The sequence below is a fragment of the Homo sapiens genome, chromosome 7 (genome assembly GCF_000001405.40).
Source record: "Homo sapiens chromosome 7, GRCh38.p14 Primary Assembly".
NCBI lineage: Eukaryota > Metazoa > Chordata > Mammalia > Primates > Hominidae > Homo > Homo sapiens.
Genome location: NC_000007.14, coordinates 98,970,953 through 98,987,471, shown reverse-complemented (window position 1 = coordinate 98,987,471; position 16,519 = coordinate 98,970,953). Strand labels below are relative to the sequence as shown.

General features: G+C 45.0%; 1 protein-coding gene across 3 annotated transcripts in view; it reads right to left on the bottom strand.

The window, feature by feature from the left end:
• Positions 1 to 16,519, bottom strand: part of TRRAP (transformation/transcription domain associated protein) — a 134,710-nt gene that overhangs the window by 25,770 nt on the left and 92,421 nt on the right. For 2 of the 3 annotated variants that reach the window (NM_001375524.1, NM_003496.4), the window contains 10 exons: positions 15,527 to 15,673; positions 11,204 to 11,323; positions 10,702 to 10,989; positions 10,396 to 10,533; positions 9,149 to 9,261; positions 8,568 to 8,703; positions 5,512 to 5,703; positions 4,013 to 4,208; positions 3,114 to 3,379; positions 2,428 to 2,528 (listed from right to left, as the gene is read on the bottom strand). In NM_001375524.1, the coding sequence (NP_001362453.1) occupies positions 2,428 to 2,528; positions 3,114 to 3,379; positions 4,013 to 4,208; positions 5,512 to 5,703; positions 8,568 to 8,703; positions 9,149 to 9,261; positions 10,396 to 10,533; positions 10,702 to 10,989; positions 11,204 to 11,323; positions 15,527 to 15,673 (1,697 nt within the window). Of the gene's footprint in view, positions 1 to 2,427; positions 2,529 to 3,113; positions 3,380 to 3,979; positions 4,209 to 5,511; positions 5,704 to 8,567; positions 8,704 to 9,148; positions 9,262 to 10,395; positions 10,534 to 10,701; positions 10,990 to 11,203; positions 11,324 to 15,526; positions 15,674 to 16,519 lie in introns of all 3 variants that reach the window. The other variant, NM_001244580.2, reaches the window with a different exon arrangement.

Sequence of the window (16,519 nt, the reverse complement as noted above, 5' to 3'; positions counted from 1 at the left end):
TCCATTCACGTGACAATATTGAGGAATAAATTTAACATAAGTGCAAGACTTGTACACTAAAAACTAAAAAACATTGTTGAATTAAACTAAAGAAGACCTAAACTAGTGGAAAGACATCTCGTGTTCACAAACTGGAAAACTTGCTTCAGATGGCAAAATGCTCACAAACTGATCTACAGATTCAATGCAATCTCTGTCGTAATTCCAACTGTTTTGGCAGAAATACATGAAAATAACCTAAAATTCATATGGAAATATGAGACTCTACATAGCAGATCAATGGAATAGAAGTGAGAGTCCAGAAATAAGCCCACAAAAAATGGTCAACGGATTTTTGTTTTTTGGGTTTTGGAAATGGGGGTCTCCACTATATTGTCCAGGTTGGTCTCAAACTCCTGGGCTCAAGTGATCCTCCCACCTCAGCCTCCCAAAGTGCTAGGATTACAGGTGTGAGCCACTGGGCCTGGCCTCAACTGATTTTTGATGAGGGTGTCAAGACCATTCAATGGAGAAAGACTAGACTTTTCAGCAAATGGTGCTGGGACAACCGTATATCCACATGCAGCATAATAAATATAGACCCCTACCTCACACCACATAAAAAATTATTCAAAATGGATCAGAGACCCAAATGTAAGAGCTAAATCTATGAAATGCTTAGAAGAAAACATAAGAATAAATGCTTCTGATCCTGGATTAGGGTATGGTTTCTTAGAAGACGTGAAAAGTATGAGCAACAAAAGAAAAAAATACATGAATTGGACTTCATCAAAATTAAAAACTTGTACATTAAAGGACACTATCAAAAAAGTGAAAAGACAGCCCACAGAACGTGACAAAATACTTGGAAATCATATATCTGCAAGAGACTTTTATCCAGACCTATAAAGAATTACAAACTAACAATCAAAACCAAGAAAAGAAGCTCAGCATCAACAGTCATTAGGAAAATGCAATTCAAAACCACAATGAAATATATTTTATACTCATTAGGATGGCTATAATCAGATAAATAATAAGAAAATAACAAGTGCTGGTGAGGATATGGAGAAATTAAAACCTTAAACATTGCTGGTGGGAATGTAAAAATGGTACGGCCAACTGTGGAAGATTGACAATGTCTCAAAAAGATAAACAGAGAAGTACAATATGACCCAGATATTCTGTCCCCAGGTATATAACCAAGAGAACTCAAACATGCTCACACAAAGACACATATTCAGTGTTTACACCAGCATTACTCATGTAGCTAAAAAGTAGGAACAACCCACACATCCATCAACTGCTGCATGGATAAACAAAATGTATGGATATCCAATGGAATATTATTCAGCCATGAAAAAGAACAGGTTACTGATACATGACAGCACATGGATGAAGCTTGAAAACATCCTGCTAAGTGAAAGAAGACAGTCACAAAAGGCCACACAGTGTATGCTTCTATTTATATGAATGTTCAGAATAAGCAAATCCATAGAGGCAGAAAGTACATTAGTAGTTGTCAAGAGAAAGGGGGAGGGGAGAAAGGAGAGTGACTACTAACAGATACAGGGTTTACTTGGGGGATGATGGAAATATTCTAGAATTAGCTAGTGGTAATGGTTGTGTAACACTGTAAATATACTAAAACCCACTAAATTGTACACTTTGGAATGGTTGTGTCTGTCACATGAATTTAAAACATTACACAAAAAGATAAAACCTTTTTATGTTGACAAAACTGCTTCCTAATTTAAAAATAAGCTAAACATGCAAGCCCCACAGACTGAAGATGTGAAAAGCAGGCACTGGAGCCTACACAAGGCAACAGGCAGCATCTTGTGAGTCTACCTCATTTGCATGATATTTACAAAATCTCCTCTGACGTTTACTTCTCTAAACCAGGGTTTGGCAACCTTTCCTGCGATGGGCTAGACAGCAAATGGTTTAGGCTCTGCAGACCATACGATTCCTATCACAACTCCTCAACTCTGCAGTAAAGCGAAAGCAGTCACAGGCAACATCAGTGGGGAGGGATGTGTTCCAATATCACTTCACTGACAAAAACAGGGCAGTGGCTGGATGTGGCTGGCCCCCAGGCCATCCTTTACTGACCCCTGGTCTAAAGCAGGAATCATCTCCACAAAACGAACCAGCTCTGTAAATGGCGGACTGAGGAAATGGGGAAATGAATCCATGTTATCAGCAGTTCTGTGATCCAGTAGCTCATTTGAGAAAAGCTTTTAAAATACTACACATCAAATAGGCTTATCAATTTGTCACAAGTTACTCTTTTTGCAGAGGTGCAGTACCTAAAAAATCCTACCTAATGACTGTCACCAAATCATACCCATTTCTAGCTTGAGCTTCACATTGGCTTCAGGTTATAAATAACTTTAAATAATCTGATGCATTTTTTCTCTTATCCTTTCAATATAACATACATACTTGTTGATCTGAGCCAAGAACATTCCCTTCAGTGCATAAAATTCGGCTGTCATCTCTTTTGTGAAGTATTTTAAATTTGTAGATTCAATAACTTCAAGGCCCTGTTCAAAAAAAATGAGCAGAAAAAAAGTTCTTGAAATTTCTAAACAATATGAAAACCTCATAAAATACTAATCTAGGCAGTAAGTCCTATGAGTCATTGACCAATGTACTTTAAATTGACAAAAGATTTGCCTACCATGAATATTTATTGATTGACGTTCAGAATTTAAACTGAATTACTAAAGCTAACTTTAAGTATTTAATCCTAAATACTTAGGGGTCTTATTTTCTCCAAAGCTTTATAGGTCTGGTCGGTTTTATTGTTCTTATCAAGATTCCTCTGAAAATAGTCAAAATCTATCTTAGATCCTCATAATTCTGTAGTGTGTAATTTTTTTCTTTCCTTAAACACATTAACTAAGTATATAGTAGGACAGAGACCACAAGAGACTGTAATTCACAGTCAAGTAGCTTCCTTTCCCTTTTGTGTTTTGGAAGGACTGTTTCCCCCTTACTGAGGCTGTATTTGTGGAAAGTTCGAGTCCACCTTCCTTATATTCTGAACCAGGAGACCCCACATTGCCTCATTCTCCACCTGGCCTCAATCTCCACCTGGCCTCATTCTTCAAGTGTCCTGTCCGCACCTGCATGCACTCGTTTTTGCCCATGACGCCTGCCAGCTGGAGGTAGCATTTAACTTGCTGTCGAATCTTCTGGAAGCAATCCACGATAGGAACAGTTGGAATAGTATGAATCCGACTTAATATATCCAGAGCTACATTGACCAGTCCTTGTTTCCGGGCGATTTTTCCATACTGGATGATCGCTGAAGCTGATGCATGAACCCCAAGCATAGCGTTATTTGAACTGGGATCATGCTGAGAGCTATTCTCATAGGCAGTTACAATCGCTAGAGGGCAAAGAAAGGAATCATTAGCCCACACCGATCCTCTTTCAAAGCACTTCACAACAAGGCTTAAATAAAAAATGAAACACACACACACATGGCTTATGAAAATGGGCAGCTCTGTGATAAACCCTCGTTACTTTGTATTTTATGCCATAAGCAACTTTTAAAAGGTGCTAATTCTTGAGTGGAGTGTTACCATCTTGGCTAACCAAATCATAAAATGACAAAGGCTGCTCTAAACACGTGGATGCCTGACAGGTTTAGGGGATAAGAGGGGGACCAGGAAAACCAGAAAAGGCCACGCAGAGCCACCTGAGCACAACTCGTCCTGGGATGGGACCTTCAACGCAGAGTGCCATGGCTCAGAGCATTGATCCCCCCGGCCTGTACGATTCTGCCCCAACTAGAAAAATGTAACAGGTACAGAAACAAAAAACAAAACTTTACTTCTTCTACCACCTTCATCTTTCCCTGTACCATTACCACCCCGACCTGTCATTCCCTACCCCAAAATAGAAAACCTGGGGGAAAAAAAAACCAAACCAAACCAAACCAAAACACAGAGACGAAACCAGAACCGTGGGGCGTCTGGAAAATTACATGATGAATGCATGCCGGACCAGGTCGGTTTACCCTGGTAATGATGCTGCCTCCACATGAAGATGCTGCTCCAGTGGGACAAGTCGTCAGACACGATGGGCAGTCGGTTCCTCCAGGTCTTCACCACCGTCTTCATGTCGTGCAGGCTGTTGTTCCTTCCCAGGTTGGTTGGCTGTAAGCCTGCGTTGATTTGTGCAGCTTCCTGGAGTTCGATGATTTGCTGGGCTGCCTGATGGGACCAGCATAAGAGACTCTGCGGTAAATGTCAGTAAAGATCAAACGGGAAAAACACACCAGAGTCCATTGGGGACATGATTATCGCAAAGATCTTATGATGCAATTACCAAAGGAAGCACTCTCATTTACACCACAGACACCTGAGATCCCACATTTCATTTACTGTTCACCCCAAACACTACTTTCCTTATGGTGTCTCCAATTTTAAAACCTCAGCTTGTGGCTCCTGAGAGACAGGAGACTGGGAGAACGATGGTACAGACACCAAACCTAGCTAATGGGCAGTCCTCAAAACTCCTCCTCCTGCTGTCCATGCCCTTTGCCACCCTCCCTGCCCGGCTCTTTGTCCAGCAATGCCTAAGGTCGGGACAGCCTGGCATCCCTGCTGCAGGCGTGCCTTTTCCCAACGTGCCTGCTAAACCCCACAGCCACACTAAGCACCTGCAAACGTGGTTCTCATGACCTCTTTGGACCCATAAAATGTAAACACATTTTTGAGTCACCGTCCTATGAGCCTGGGAGGTAGACTACCCTTAAATTCCAGATGCGCTGTTGGCACCAAACTTCTGATACCACCTTCTCACCTGGAAGGCCCTGGCCACAATCCTCAGCCTATCCAAATTCTGTCCTTGGCTTCTATGGCGCACACGATATCTTCCTTCCCTCGATCCTCATTATCCTGATTTTCTGTCTGATGAGCATGGCTCTGAATCACAGTCTCCCTCCAAATGTAAATTTGTTTCTATGGCTATGCCCGCTGTCTCAGGTTCAATGCTCCTTTGAGGCAGAATCTATTGTTTTAAAATGTTTTTTAATCTCCTAAACATAACACTTAGTTCAATACTCTGTATCTTGGTTGACAGTAATTTTTGAAATTGCCTAGAACAATCTGTGCTTTCTGTTTATATTTCAAATTTAACTCATTACATTCAGATTTCGGAAAACATTTCCTAACCCTGTCCCTCCAGCTCCCGCCAAAAGCTTGCTGAAAACAGAGCGATGGACTCTGTAACTGAGGGTGGCACAGTGGGCACTGAAAACAATCCCTCAGGCAAAATTCAAAACCAGAATCACTGTGAGGATGTCTTCAATCCCGCAGAAACACCGACATGTTTTTCTCAACGTTTTAACTGTGGCCTTCCTTTCCTGAGGACGCGTATAAGTGGGAGAGGACAAGACAAGCAGAAGGAGTTTCATCTCTGCTGTCCGGAGCAGTCTGCAGACCTAAGCCTGGACACCGGCGCTTGGCTGCGACAGGCCACAGGCCTGTGCTCGCATGGGGGCACCGCACGCACCTGTAGGAGAGGCGTGTGCACGTGGGACACTACGTGGGGCAGCCGCCGCCACTCGCGGATGGCCAGGCTGCTGGCCATCTCCACCAGGCGCTCGATGAAGCTGAGCTGCTGCTCCTCGGGGTGGCAGATGGCCAGGTATCCGCGGTACATGTTCACCTTCCAGGCCATCTCCTTCGGACAGCTCACTTCCACCTGGCAGTGAAAGAACGTGACACAGGACGTGAGGGGCCTTCTTTCCCTCAGTGTAAAGTGTCAAACAGGAAAAAGATCACTTTTTTTGGTCACTAGGTATGCAAGGCAATACACAGAAATTAGGCTATAGAAATGTATTTTCTTTAGAGAAGTCATGCGTTTACACAGTCTTTTCTGGATACTCTCCTTTTCTAAATTCCAGTGAGCGGCCAATCTCTCTAGCTATGAAAGCATACCACAGGCTTCTGGCTTTAAGGTCATCAGTTGTTCCAAAGAAAAGAAACTGATCAATGCTGTTATGACAGATCAGATGAAAAATCACACAGTCTGCTAACAAGTCAGCCGGCATTATTATTATTATTTTTTTGAGACGGAATCTTGCTCTGTTGCCCAGCCTGCAGAGCAGTGGTGTGATCGTGGCTCACTGCAACCTCTGCCTCCCAGGTTCAAGCTATTCTCCTGCCTCAGCCTCCTGAGCAGCTGGGATTACAGGCGTGTGCCACCATGCCCAGATAATTTCTTGTGTTTTTAGTAGAGATGGGTTTCACCATGTTGGTCAGGCTGGTCTTGAACTCCTGACCTCAGGTGATCTGCCTGCCTCAGCCTCCCAAAGTGCTGGGATTACAGGCATGAGCCACCGTGCCTGGCCAATCAGCACATTTTAAGCTGTTATATATATATTAATCTCCAGTATGATAAACATCAGTGTGATTTTTTTTGAGACAGGGTCCCCCTCTGTCGTTCAAGCTAGACTGCAGGGTCATGCTCATAGCACACTACAGCCCCTCCAGGGCTCAAGTGATCTTCCTGCCTCAGTGTCCCAAGCAGCTGGAACTACAGGCATGTACCCCACACCAGGCTAATTTTTGTTTATTTTTTGTAGAAACGGGGGTCTTGCTGTTACCCAGGCTGGTCTCAAACTCCTGGGCTCAAGTGATCTGCCTGCCTTGGCCTCCCAAAGCGTTGGGATCACAGGCGTGAGCCACCACGCCCGGCCACATGGGTGTAATTTTGAATTGCTTCCAATTCATATTGTTATCCTGGGAAATTAAACCGTTCAGGTGTTAATTCAGGTTTACATGAACATGAGGGAACATGTGCAAATTTTACTGTCATTTTAAAGCCACACTTTCTTGCCTACTATAAAATGTCCCCCAGATTTCCTGCACTCCAGCGTCAGTTCCATGGAGCAGCCGATGAGCCTGGGCCAACCGCTCCTCAGCCAGGTGGAGACCATGTGTTCCTTTCTGCCCTAAAAGGCCTTTTCTTTTTTTTTTGGCTCATTACCTTCTGAAGAAAGCACTGGAACGCCTCACATTTTGTTAATCTCATTTAAAAATATTTAAAAAATTTTTTTCATGAAAGTTTTCAAACATCTCTGTGATTAGAAAGATGGAAGGACATCTCTATGATGGGAAGTTTACAGGAATTGCTGTAGCAAGATCAATAAACATTCCTCTTTGGAAAACAATAAATAACAATAAAAGGGACACACATGAGTGCCATGATGGTATCTGTCCCAAGGACTGCATGCAATAATGGTAATAATGACACCACCCCACAATTATATGACACTGTGGCTTGTTTTTGACATCTTACTCTTCCAAAGCACATTCATGGTACCTCTTAGTTCTCGATAACCCACTGAAGAAGAAATTCAGGAAGGCAAACAAGACTACAGCAGCTTCCAACATTACCCTCCACATTGGCACCAATGTCACAGGGTCTGGACTCGAACATTAGTTGAGATAGATTTTTGCCAATTACAACACCTACCCTCAGTTACACTAAGAAAAACGGCATCTCTTCTATTTTCCCCACTGAAAAAAAGCTAACCCACTTACTAAATGAAACCAAGAAACTACCCTAGGAAGCACAGAAACAGACAGAAGTAATTTGCTGAATCCTTTTCAAGACTATTTGAAATTAATTTAGTGCAGATTACCCAGGATGTTTACTCACATATTTGAGTTTTTTTCTAAGCAGTGAGTAATTTACAAGTTTTATAAAATGATCAAGAATCTATGAAAGAAGAAATGCATCTGTGAGACCTCGGGACCATGTGACGCTGCATATATCCAGCTAAGGGAAACTTTGGGAAGGAGAAAGAAGGGAACGTTAAGGTGAGCTACAAATACTTATTCAATTTTATGTTTTGTCAGAGTAAAGAAGGAATAAGCATCGTAAATGCATTCTGACAGCAAAATATATACAACTGGTCCTCCATATGTGTGGATTTGACCAACTGTGGATGGAAAATATTTGGGGGAAAAAAAACTGCATCTGTACTAAGCATGTACAGAGCTTTTTCTTGTCATTCCCTAAAAACTACAGTGTAACAAAACAACTGTGTAAGTAGCAATTACACTGTATTAGGTACTGTAAGTAACCTAGACAGGATTTAAAGAACCCAGGCGGCTGTGCAGAGATTACATGCAATACTACACCGTTTTATATCAGGGACTTGAGTGTCCGTGGATTTTGGTACCGCTGGGGTGTCCTGGATACTGAGGGAAGAATGTATTTTTACTGATATAAATGACTGGTTATTTCTCTAAGGAACACAAACTCCCTGCATCCAATGAGTCATTTCCCAGGTCCCAAACCAGAAGTCAACACCTGGCCTCGATTCCATCTTCTAGTTCATAGTTTGTGACTATTTCTAATCTTCAATTTCTCATTTTGTAAAAGTGTCATTACTCAAATTCAGGAAAGGTGTTAGACAATCAAAAGGAACCTTTCCTTCCCAAAAGCTGTCTTTCCACTGCCAAAATGCTTGTTCTAAGGGAAATCTCCCAAGAGACACCTGCAGCTTCAGGAAAAGGGACCCAGGCAGCGGCAGGGATGCCCCCGGGGCGTCTCACCTGCACCAGCGCCTCCTTCATGGCAGTCCAGTTGGACACCCGCCAGGCGCACTCCAGGACGAGGTAGGGGTTGATGTGGCCTTTGGACTGACCGTACTCCGTCAGGGCTTCCCACTGGTTCAATTCCTTGGAGCATCTAGAAGACCACAGATCCCAGAGCAAAAGCTCAATCACCAGCACACTCATGAATTCACAAAGGCAGGGACAGGGTTTTAAGGAGCAAATTTCCATTCTACAGAAGAACAACACAGTAAGAGTGGACTTCTGTGGGACATGGAGGTGTGCTCCATTGTGGGGAGAGCCCCCTGCCCACCCTGGACACCACAAACCACCTGCTATTCAGCAGACAGCCCAGAGCACTGGAGCCAGGGGAGATGCAGGGACAGTTTACTGCTTCTCCAGTTGACTTGTTTAATTACTCAAGGCTTTAAATGCTGGTTTTGGGTTTCTATTTGTTCTTTATGTGGCCATAAAGTAGCAAAGCTTTCTTTAAAAAACGCTCATTACAAGAAAAGGTCAGAGATTTTTCCCTGGTTCCCTTAACTGATTCATGCACACGTCAAGCACTGTGTTTGGCTTACCGAATCCAGTGGTCTTCCCAGAGCTGGTATTCAGGGAAAATAGCAGGGGAGGCGTTACTCCTCTCATGTTCTTTTTTGGCTTTATCCATTGCCTTTTCATAGGATTCTTGTGCCTAAAAAAAGTTAATGTTTTTAAATCACTGTTTAACTAGAAACACACCTTTTCTTTCTTTTTAAATTTAAAACTTAGAACTAAGTTTTTTGAGATGAGGTTTTGCTATGTTGCCAAAGCTGGACTCAAACTCTTAATTCCTAGGCTCAAGGGACCCTCCTGCCTCAGACTCCCTGAGTAGCTGGGCTACAGGTGCCTGCCTGCACCTGGCTAAGAAACACAGCCTTTTCACTGCCATGGCCCAGTTGTCTAGAGCAGGCTGAATCACAGACCTGGGAGCACATGGAGCTCTTCTCCAGGAGCACTAAATGCCCGCAGCTCTCTGTTCAGAGACAGAAGACAGTGGGATTCCCTGAACAGAATGGAAGGAGGAGAGGCTGTCCAGACGTGGGATTACTTTCTCCATCCTTTAGTAATCGGAGCAGGAGCCGCAAGGCCACATCTGCTTCTGGAGCTTCCGCGGCACAGCACCCTACACAGTGCTAGGAATTGCACCCTGAAATGGTGGCCTGAGCCACACTGAAGGGCAGACACAGGGAGTAAAACGTAAGCAAAAACAAAACCTATCACTTCCAACAGGACCAACGACGGGAGGGAAAAAGCATCCACGCTGGCATCTAATGCAAAGGACTTATCAGGACTGTGCTTTAGCTCATGTCATATACGTAGGTATCTCTTAAATGCAGACTTCAGTCATAGAGCCTTTACGTGCGGGACTGAAATGCTTTAAAACGTATTTAAATGTGAACTATGGGCCAGGCGCAGTGGCTCATACCTGTAATCCTAGCACTTTGGGAGGCCGAGGTGGGCGGATCTTAGGTCAGGAGTTCGAGACCAGCACGGCCAACATGGCAAAACCCCGTCTCTACTAAAAATACAAAGATTAGCTGGGCATGGTGGTGGGCGCCTGTAATCCCAGCTACTTGGGAGGCTGAGGCAGGAGAATCGCTTGAACCTGGGAGGTGGAGGTTGCAGTGAGCCGAGATTGTGCCACTGCACTCCAGGCTGGGCGACAGAGCAAGACTCCATCTCAAAAAAAGAGAACGTGAACTCCGACTTGAGGACATTTTATTAAAGAACCGTTATAAATGACCTCTCATTACACACCCAAGACCGTCAGTGGTCTGAGGTTTACCTGCTCAAAGAACCCGTGCTGCTCGTAAGCAATCGCAGTCGCTGTCTCCGAGTACTTGCACCGCTTCTGCCACAGACCAGCCCACATATCTTCCTCTTGTAACAGGGAGTAAAGCTCCGCAAGGGAATCCAGTATCTCCTGAAAACACAAAGTAAGGTTCCTGAGTGCTTGAGACAGAGACTTTTTTTCCCCCCTAAAAATAGTTTCACTGTGCTGTCATTTGAAATCATTTGGGAGGAGTATTTATTTAAAGTGTGAAGTCACTGGCAGGGAAGAGGTAATTAACAAACTGAGGCGCACCCTCACCTGCTGCGGCGGGGTGATGCTCTCCTGCTCATAAAACTCCGTTGTTTGCTTCGGCTTAATCTGAAGACTCAGACCCTTTTCAAAAGCCTGGTGCTCCAACATCAGCGTGGACCGGAACCAGAGGTTGTGTGTCTTCCCCAGGTACTTCAGGACGCAGGGTCGGATGGGGATTGGCGGCACGCACTGGGACATGGCTTCCACAAAGCAGTTCAGCGCGCTGGGCTGGCAGTCCCGCTGCACCTGGTGACTGCCGCTGCACAGAAATGGACTTATCTCACCCGCGAGTGCCTGAAACCAAAGCACATGTCATTTAGGCCTTCATTCAAAAATCGGCAAGTCTTGCTGTCTCTCTCGATGCAAGAATACCTTTCCTAATTCGCTCGAGTGACAGCCAGCGGTTCCCTCATTTTCTGAAACTTGTTCGAGACTGTGTTCTTTTATGAATACTTACCAAAAGCTAAAACTACAATTTTCCAAAACAGGATTTTAAAGATACACTCACATGCTGCTGTCTGTCAGAGAGGATCTTCCACAATCTGGGGAAAAGCTGGACCCACGTCTTCTCTGCCAGCGTCGTGGAAATGTGGCACAGCTGAACGAAAGCGCTGAGCAGCGCTCCAGTCTATGAACAGAAAGACAACAGGCTGAGATGGCCACGGGCTGGGGGTGCCTCGCACAACCACGCTCAGAAGACACCCATGATCTGTCTCATACATTACCGATGCTCCTCCACTTTCAAAGTTTCAAAGATCTGAGAAAATGCCATGTTAGAGTAAAAGCCCACAGATCCTGAGTGGTGGGAAGCCATGGTGCACTTAGCAGCCAAGCCCAGGCATCCCGAGAGGCTCAGCAATGGCGCCTGCATTTGTCCTTAGTTTTTAAGGGGGTTTCTTAACACTACTGATCCCACCATATCCAAGAAGGACAAAAACACTGACAAGACTGAAAGAGTAACTTAGAAGGACACAGATGTCACCGAGGCCCAGGCCACTGAAAATAGGAAAGTGAAAACACACGTATATGACATAAACTATTTGCCAACAGGTATTATTCTGAAGAACAAATCAAGAACTGAAAGTTCAGTCTCTGCAATCTGCAGTGGACAAGAGGCAGGAGAAAATGACCGAGACGGACTGAAACAGAACAGAAGAGAATGGAACGGACTGGAACGGAACGCCTGGACAACTAGAGCCCGAAGTCGAAACTGAGGGCCTGGAGGGCACAGCAAATTCACAGTTGTGTTTATCTCATCCCAGCCCTCTTGTTTTTGAAGATCTGATCTGAATTAGCTGCCAACATTCCTTATTAACAGCCAGGTTTCTAGGTCTGCCTGAGGCTGCTCTAGCCCACAGGAGACACCCTACATGGCATCAGGCAGTGGCGCAACAGGGCTGGGGCACATGCTGACAGCCACACTGTCCCTGCTGCCCTGGCACGGTGGCAGAGTGCCAGGGACATGATTATGCTTTCATTTGTCCTGCAGCAAACCCAAGGGGGAAACCATGGGCACATTCACGTTTCTACTAAAAACAGACACCAAGGATACAAATCTTTCAAGGAAAATGGGTGAAAACATTTAGGTAAAGAACGCTCCTAAGTATCTGTCATCAGGCTGCCCTGTGAGGACTGTGATGAAGTAAGCACAGTTTCCCTCACATGGCCACACACTTCACCCTGACCAGCCCATCAGGGGCTCTCAGCTCCACGTCAGTTTAGCGGAGACCAAGAGCTGGGGAGAATTGAAGAGCCCAGCAAGGTCACTGACCTGCTGATAAAGCTGCTCAACTCCAACCGTGGGGGTTTGGATCAGAATCCCAAAAGACACAATTCTATACACCCTAACCCCAAGTGTCGAAATCCTCAAAGATCAAAATCCCTGAAAAAATCATCATCACAGCACAGCTGCATCAGGTTAGAAACTATTACATGTTACTGTCTGCATGGTTTAAGGAGATGCCTATGGGTGCCATGTTTACAGCATCAACTTGACTGGACTAAGGAATACCTGGAAACCTACCTAGTAAAGTATTATTTGGGGTATCTCTGTGTATGTTTTAAAGAATTTTTAAATTGTTTTTTTCCAGCATTATATTTTCGGGATTTGAGAGGTTAGAAATTTTGATCTTTAGGGATTTCAACATCCGGGATTATGATGTTCAGGGTTTTGTGTCTCAGGATTACAGTCCGCTCCTGCTCCCCAAGTCCATGGCTTGTTCTGATGTACACACTGTCCCAAAGAGGTGCAGGGGTGAGGACCCCGTGGTGGCCCCACAGTGTCAAAAGAGCCCAGCGAGGGGTTGCTGCCTCCACAGAATTCCCACAGGGAACAATGGCCAGACCTGGGAAATGAGGTGAAAGAGAAAGAGCCTGTGTGCCTGGGGTGAGGACCGCCCTCTCCACATTTAGAATCCAAGAGTCTAAGAAGAGCTGGTGGCACCTGACCACTTCACAGGGTAGAGGAGCTCCAGGAAGGAGAACATCAGGGTGGAAACAACAAACACAATGATTTGTAACCCCATCTTGCTCCATGAAAAATCTCAACTCCCATAAATACACAGAAGATGAAATAACACGACACCACCCTCTCCAACCCCACCAGCCCTGGCTGCTTTACCCCGGCACCCATCTCGCCTCCTGAGGGATTAGCACTTCTTTCTGTTCATTATTTCCCCTCACTAGAACATACACCCTACTGAGGACCAGCTACCACTGTGTTTCCAGTGTCCAGAACATCACCTGACACAGAGCAGGCTCTCAGTAAAAAGATGCTGAAATGATGAAATGAGATCAAATGTAAAAGGTGAACGAGGAAAATGGGACACAAAAGAACCCAAGGAGAAGGGAAGAATTAAATCACACCCAAGTACCCTGAGAACCACACCCTGCTAAGAGGCGGGCACAGGTCTGCCAGAGCGGCCCAAGGACATGCAGCAAGTGGGCGGCACACCAGGCTCAGGGGTGATGGTGTGCCCACCTGTGCTGGGCACTGAGTTCGAGGGTCTCCTCTGTGACACGCATCTGGGAACAGTATGGCTGACGTCTGCAGCTCCGGCCTGAGCAATCCTCTTACAAAGGGTGACACAGATGGGCCCTGAGACTCAGGCTATGAAGCCTCAGATCAAGAGAAGACCATGGGGACATCTGTGGGCAAGATTTTCTGTGAGATCTGCCGAGATTTCAGCCACGTCTGGTCTAGCCCAGCCGCCATCCAGAGAGCAGCCATGGCCCCACAGAGGACGTGGAGGTGTACAGCTGTGACCAACTGAGCCAAGACAAAAATATTGTTGAGTAAAACCAAATATCCTGACCCCTCGCACAACATACTGCTAGAACTTCCTCTCCTGATGGCACTCGCACCAGGAGCTGAGGCTAAAACTGAGGCCCAGGCACCTGATGACGTGGTGATGTGTCATGGTGACCATCAGCCAAAGGAGGCCTTGGGCTTCAGGACATGGACTTATAGCCCTTTTTTCTGGTGGTGGCGGCAGTAGGGACATGGGTCTATTAAGATGCCTGTAATCCCAGCACTTTGGGAGGCCGAGGCAGGCAGATCACCTGAGGTCAGGAGTTCAAGATCAGCCTGGCCAACATGGTGAAACCCTGTCTCTACTAAAAATACAAAAATTGGCCAGGTGTGGTGGTGTGTGCCTGTAATCCCAGCTACTCAGGAGGCTGAGGCAGGAGAATCGCTAGAACCTGGGAGATGGAGGTTGCTGTGAGCCGAGATTGCACCACTATACTCCAGCCTGAGCAACAGAGTGAGACCCTGTCTCACACAAACAAACAAACAAACAAAAGAAGTGCCTGGCCCATAACATGAGAGCTATCACTCACATGTATCAGGCTGCTCTGCTTCCCGCTCCATCCCACAGAAAAGCATTTTATCCTTATCCAAGATGACAATGGTGTCACTTGGGTATAAGTTCAAAGACTGATCCAGTGCACAAGTTCAACATAGGTCACCAAAAGATTTTAACGTAAAAATCACTTGCGAAAAGTAGTTTGTGCTTTTTTCCCACCTAGCTCCTGATATGAACAGAATAATCAGAATCATCACCCAGCTCCTGAAAGAACAGAAAAATACCTCCTCATCAAAAGCAACCTGGTACACGGAGCTTCAACCAGTCTTTCAAGGTCAGGACATAAAAACAGACTTATAATTTACCTGAGAGTTTGCAGAAGCCAGAGAGTTTCTACCTGGCTAGATTCAAACACAGATGCACCTGGAGGCCCCCAGTTCCACAAAGTGGGCTTGATTTAGCAAATTAACTCATTTATCATTTTCTCCTCTTTTAGTGCACTTGAAAAATAATCCAACATTATTATGTCTCCTCACACATTTTTTGTACACGGTTTTACCGTTTCTTTCAAGAGATGGTGGTGGAGAAATTAACTTTTTTCCTATTTTCTCCTATAAGACACTGTGACACTCCAAATCTCTGCTTCACGCCTATAATCCCAGCACTTTGGGAGGCCAAGGTGGGTGGATCACTTGAGTCCAGGAATCCAAGACCAGTCTGAGCAACATATCAAGACCCTGTATCTACTAAAAAATTAACAAATTAGCTGGGTGTGGCAGCCTATGTCTGTGGTCCCAGCTACCTGGGAGGCTGAGGTGGGAGGATCGCTTGGCCCAGGAGACTGAGGCCGCAGTGAGGTGCGACTGCGCCACTAGACTGCAGGCTGGGTGACAAAGCAACATCCCATCTCAAAAAGAAAAAGAAAAGAAACAGAAAAAGTTACACTGCTGTGGAATGATCCTGATTTAGGCTTTGAACTGTCCATGGGAGGAAAGCAACGAATCCTTTCCAAGCTGCGTACAGACCTTCACCTCTCGGAGAGTGTCCAGAAACTTGTCGTGCCTGTTGGTTAGCATGTGCAGCTGGTTTCCAATGTCCTTTTCTGAAAGTTCTTTGGTTTTGGGCGTGCTGGTCTGATCCCCAGGAGCTAGTTCGATGTCTATCTCTACATCCTAAGAAACAAAGCAGCAAGCAAAACCAAAAGGTCAAAGGCTTCAAGAAAACCCAACAAACACACCTCCTGTAGGCTTCTTGTTACAATTTTGGTAAAATTCGTGTTCGTTTCCTGGAAGTGTGTAAGTATTTAAATAATCTTCAATCCTAAAATAAACAAAACCTGGATTAACTAGACCAGATCGCTCTCTTTTTAAAAATGACTATAAAGAAGCCACCAGTGTGCTTTCACATTTGGGTTTTTTGTCAAAAGCACAATTTAAAAGAATAAACTTTAAACGTAAAAATAATAAAGATTAATGGAATCATAGTCTATCATTACTCAAAATGCAATACAGTCGCCCAGCTGCCTGGCTTGCTCCGACTGAGAATCCCTTCAGGGCCACGGCGGAGCATGTTGCTGGTGCAATGTTTTATATGACCATTCCCAAAGAGGAATACACCTTATTTCTGTCTGAAGGTTTGGAGAAGTCAGTCAACAATCAAACTACTCCTTGAAGTCAGGTATCGACAATTTGGTGTGTGCCCTTGAAAATGAAGAACTTCAGACTTGGCAATTTATTTCACACAGGAAGATTACAGAAAGAAAAGACCAAATGACCAGGTAATCTAGTGTTTTAGCAACAGTAAAAAAAGGAAAAAAATTTTAATTCGAAATTATTAATGAGTAGACATCCTGCACATGGAAGAGGGGACGCACCACCCCTTTTAGAGCAAAGAAGGTGCCATGCCCGCCTGCAGCACGGGGTGACTGTCTCCTAAGACGCAACGCTCCACACAGGCTGAGCCTCCAAAAACCAACGACCTTAAGGAGATACAGCCTACAAAAATCCCTGCCAGGAACA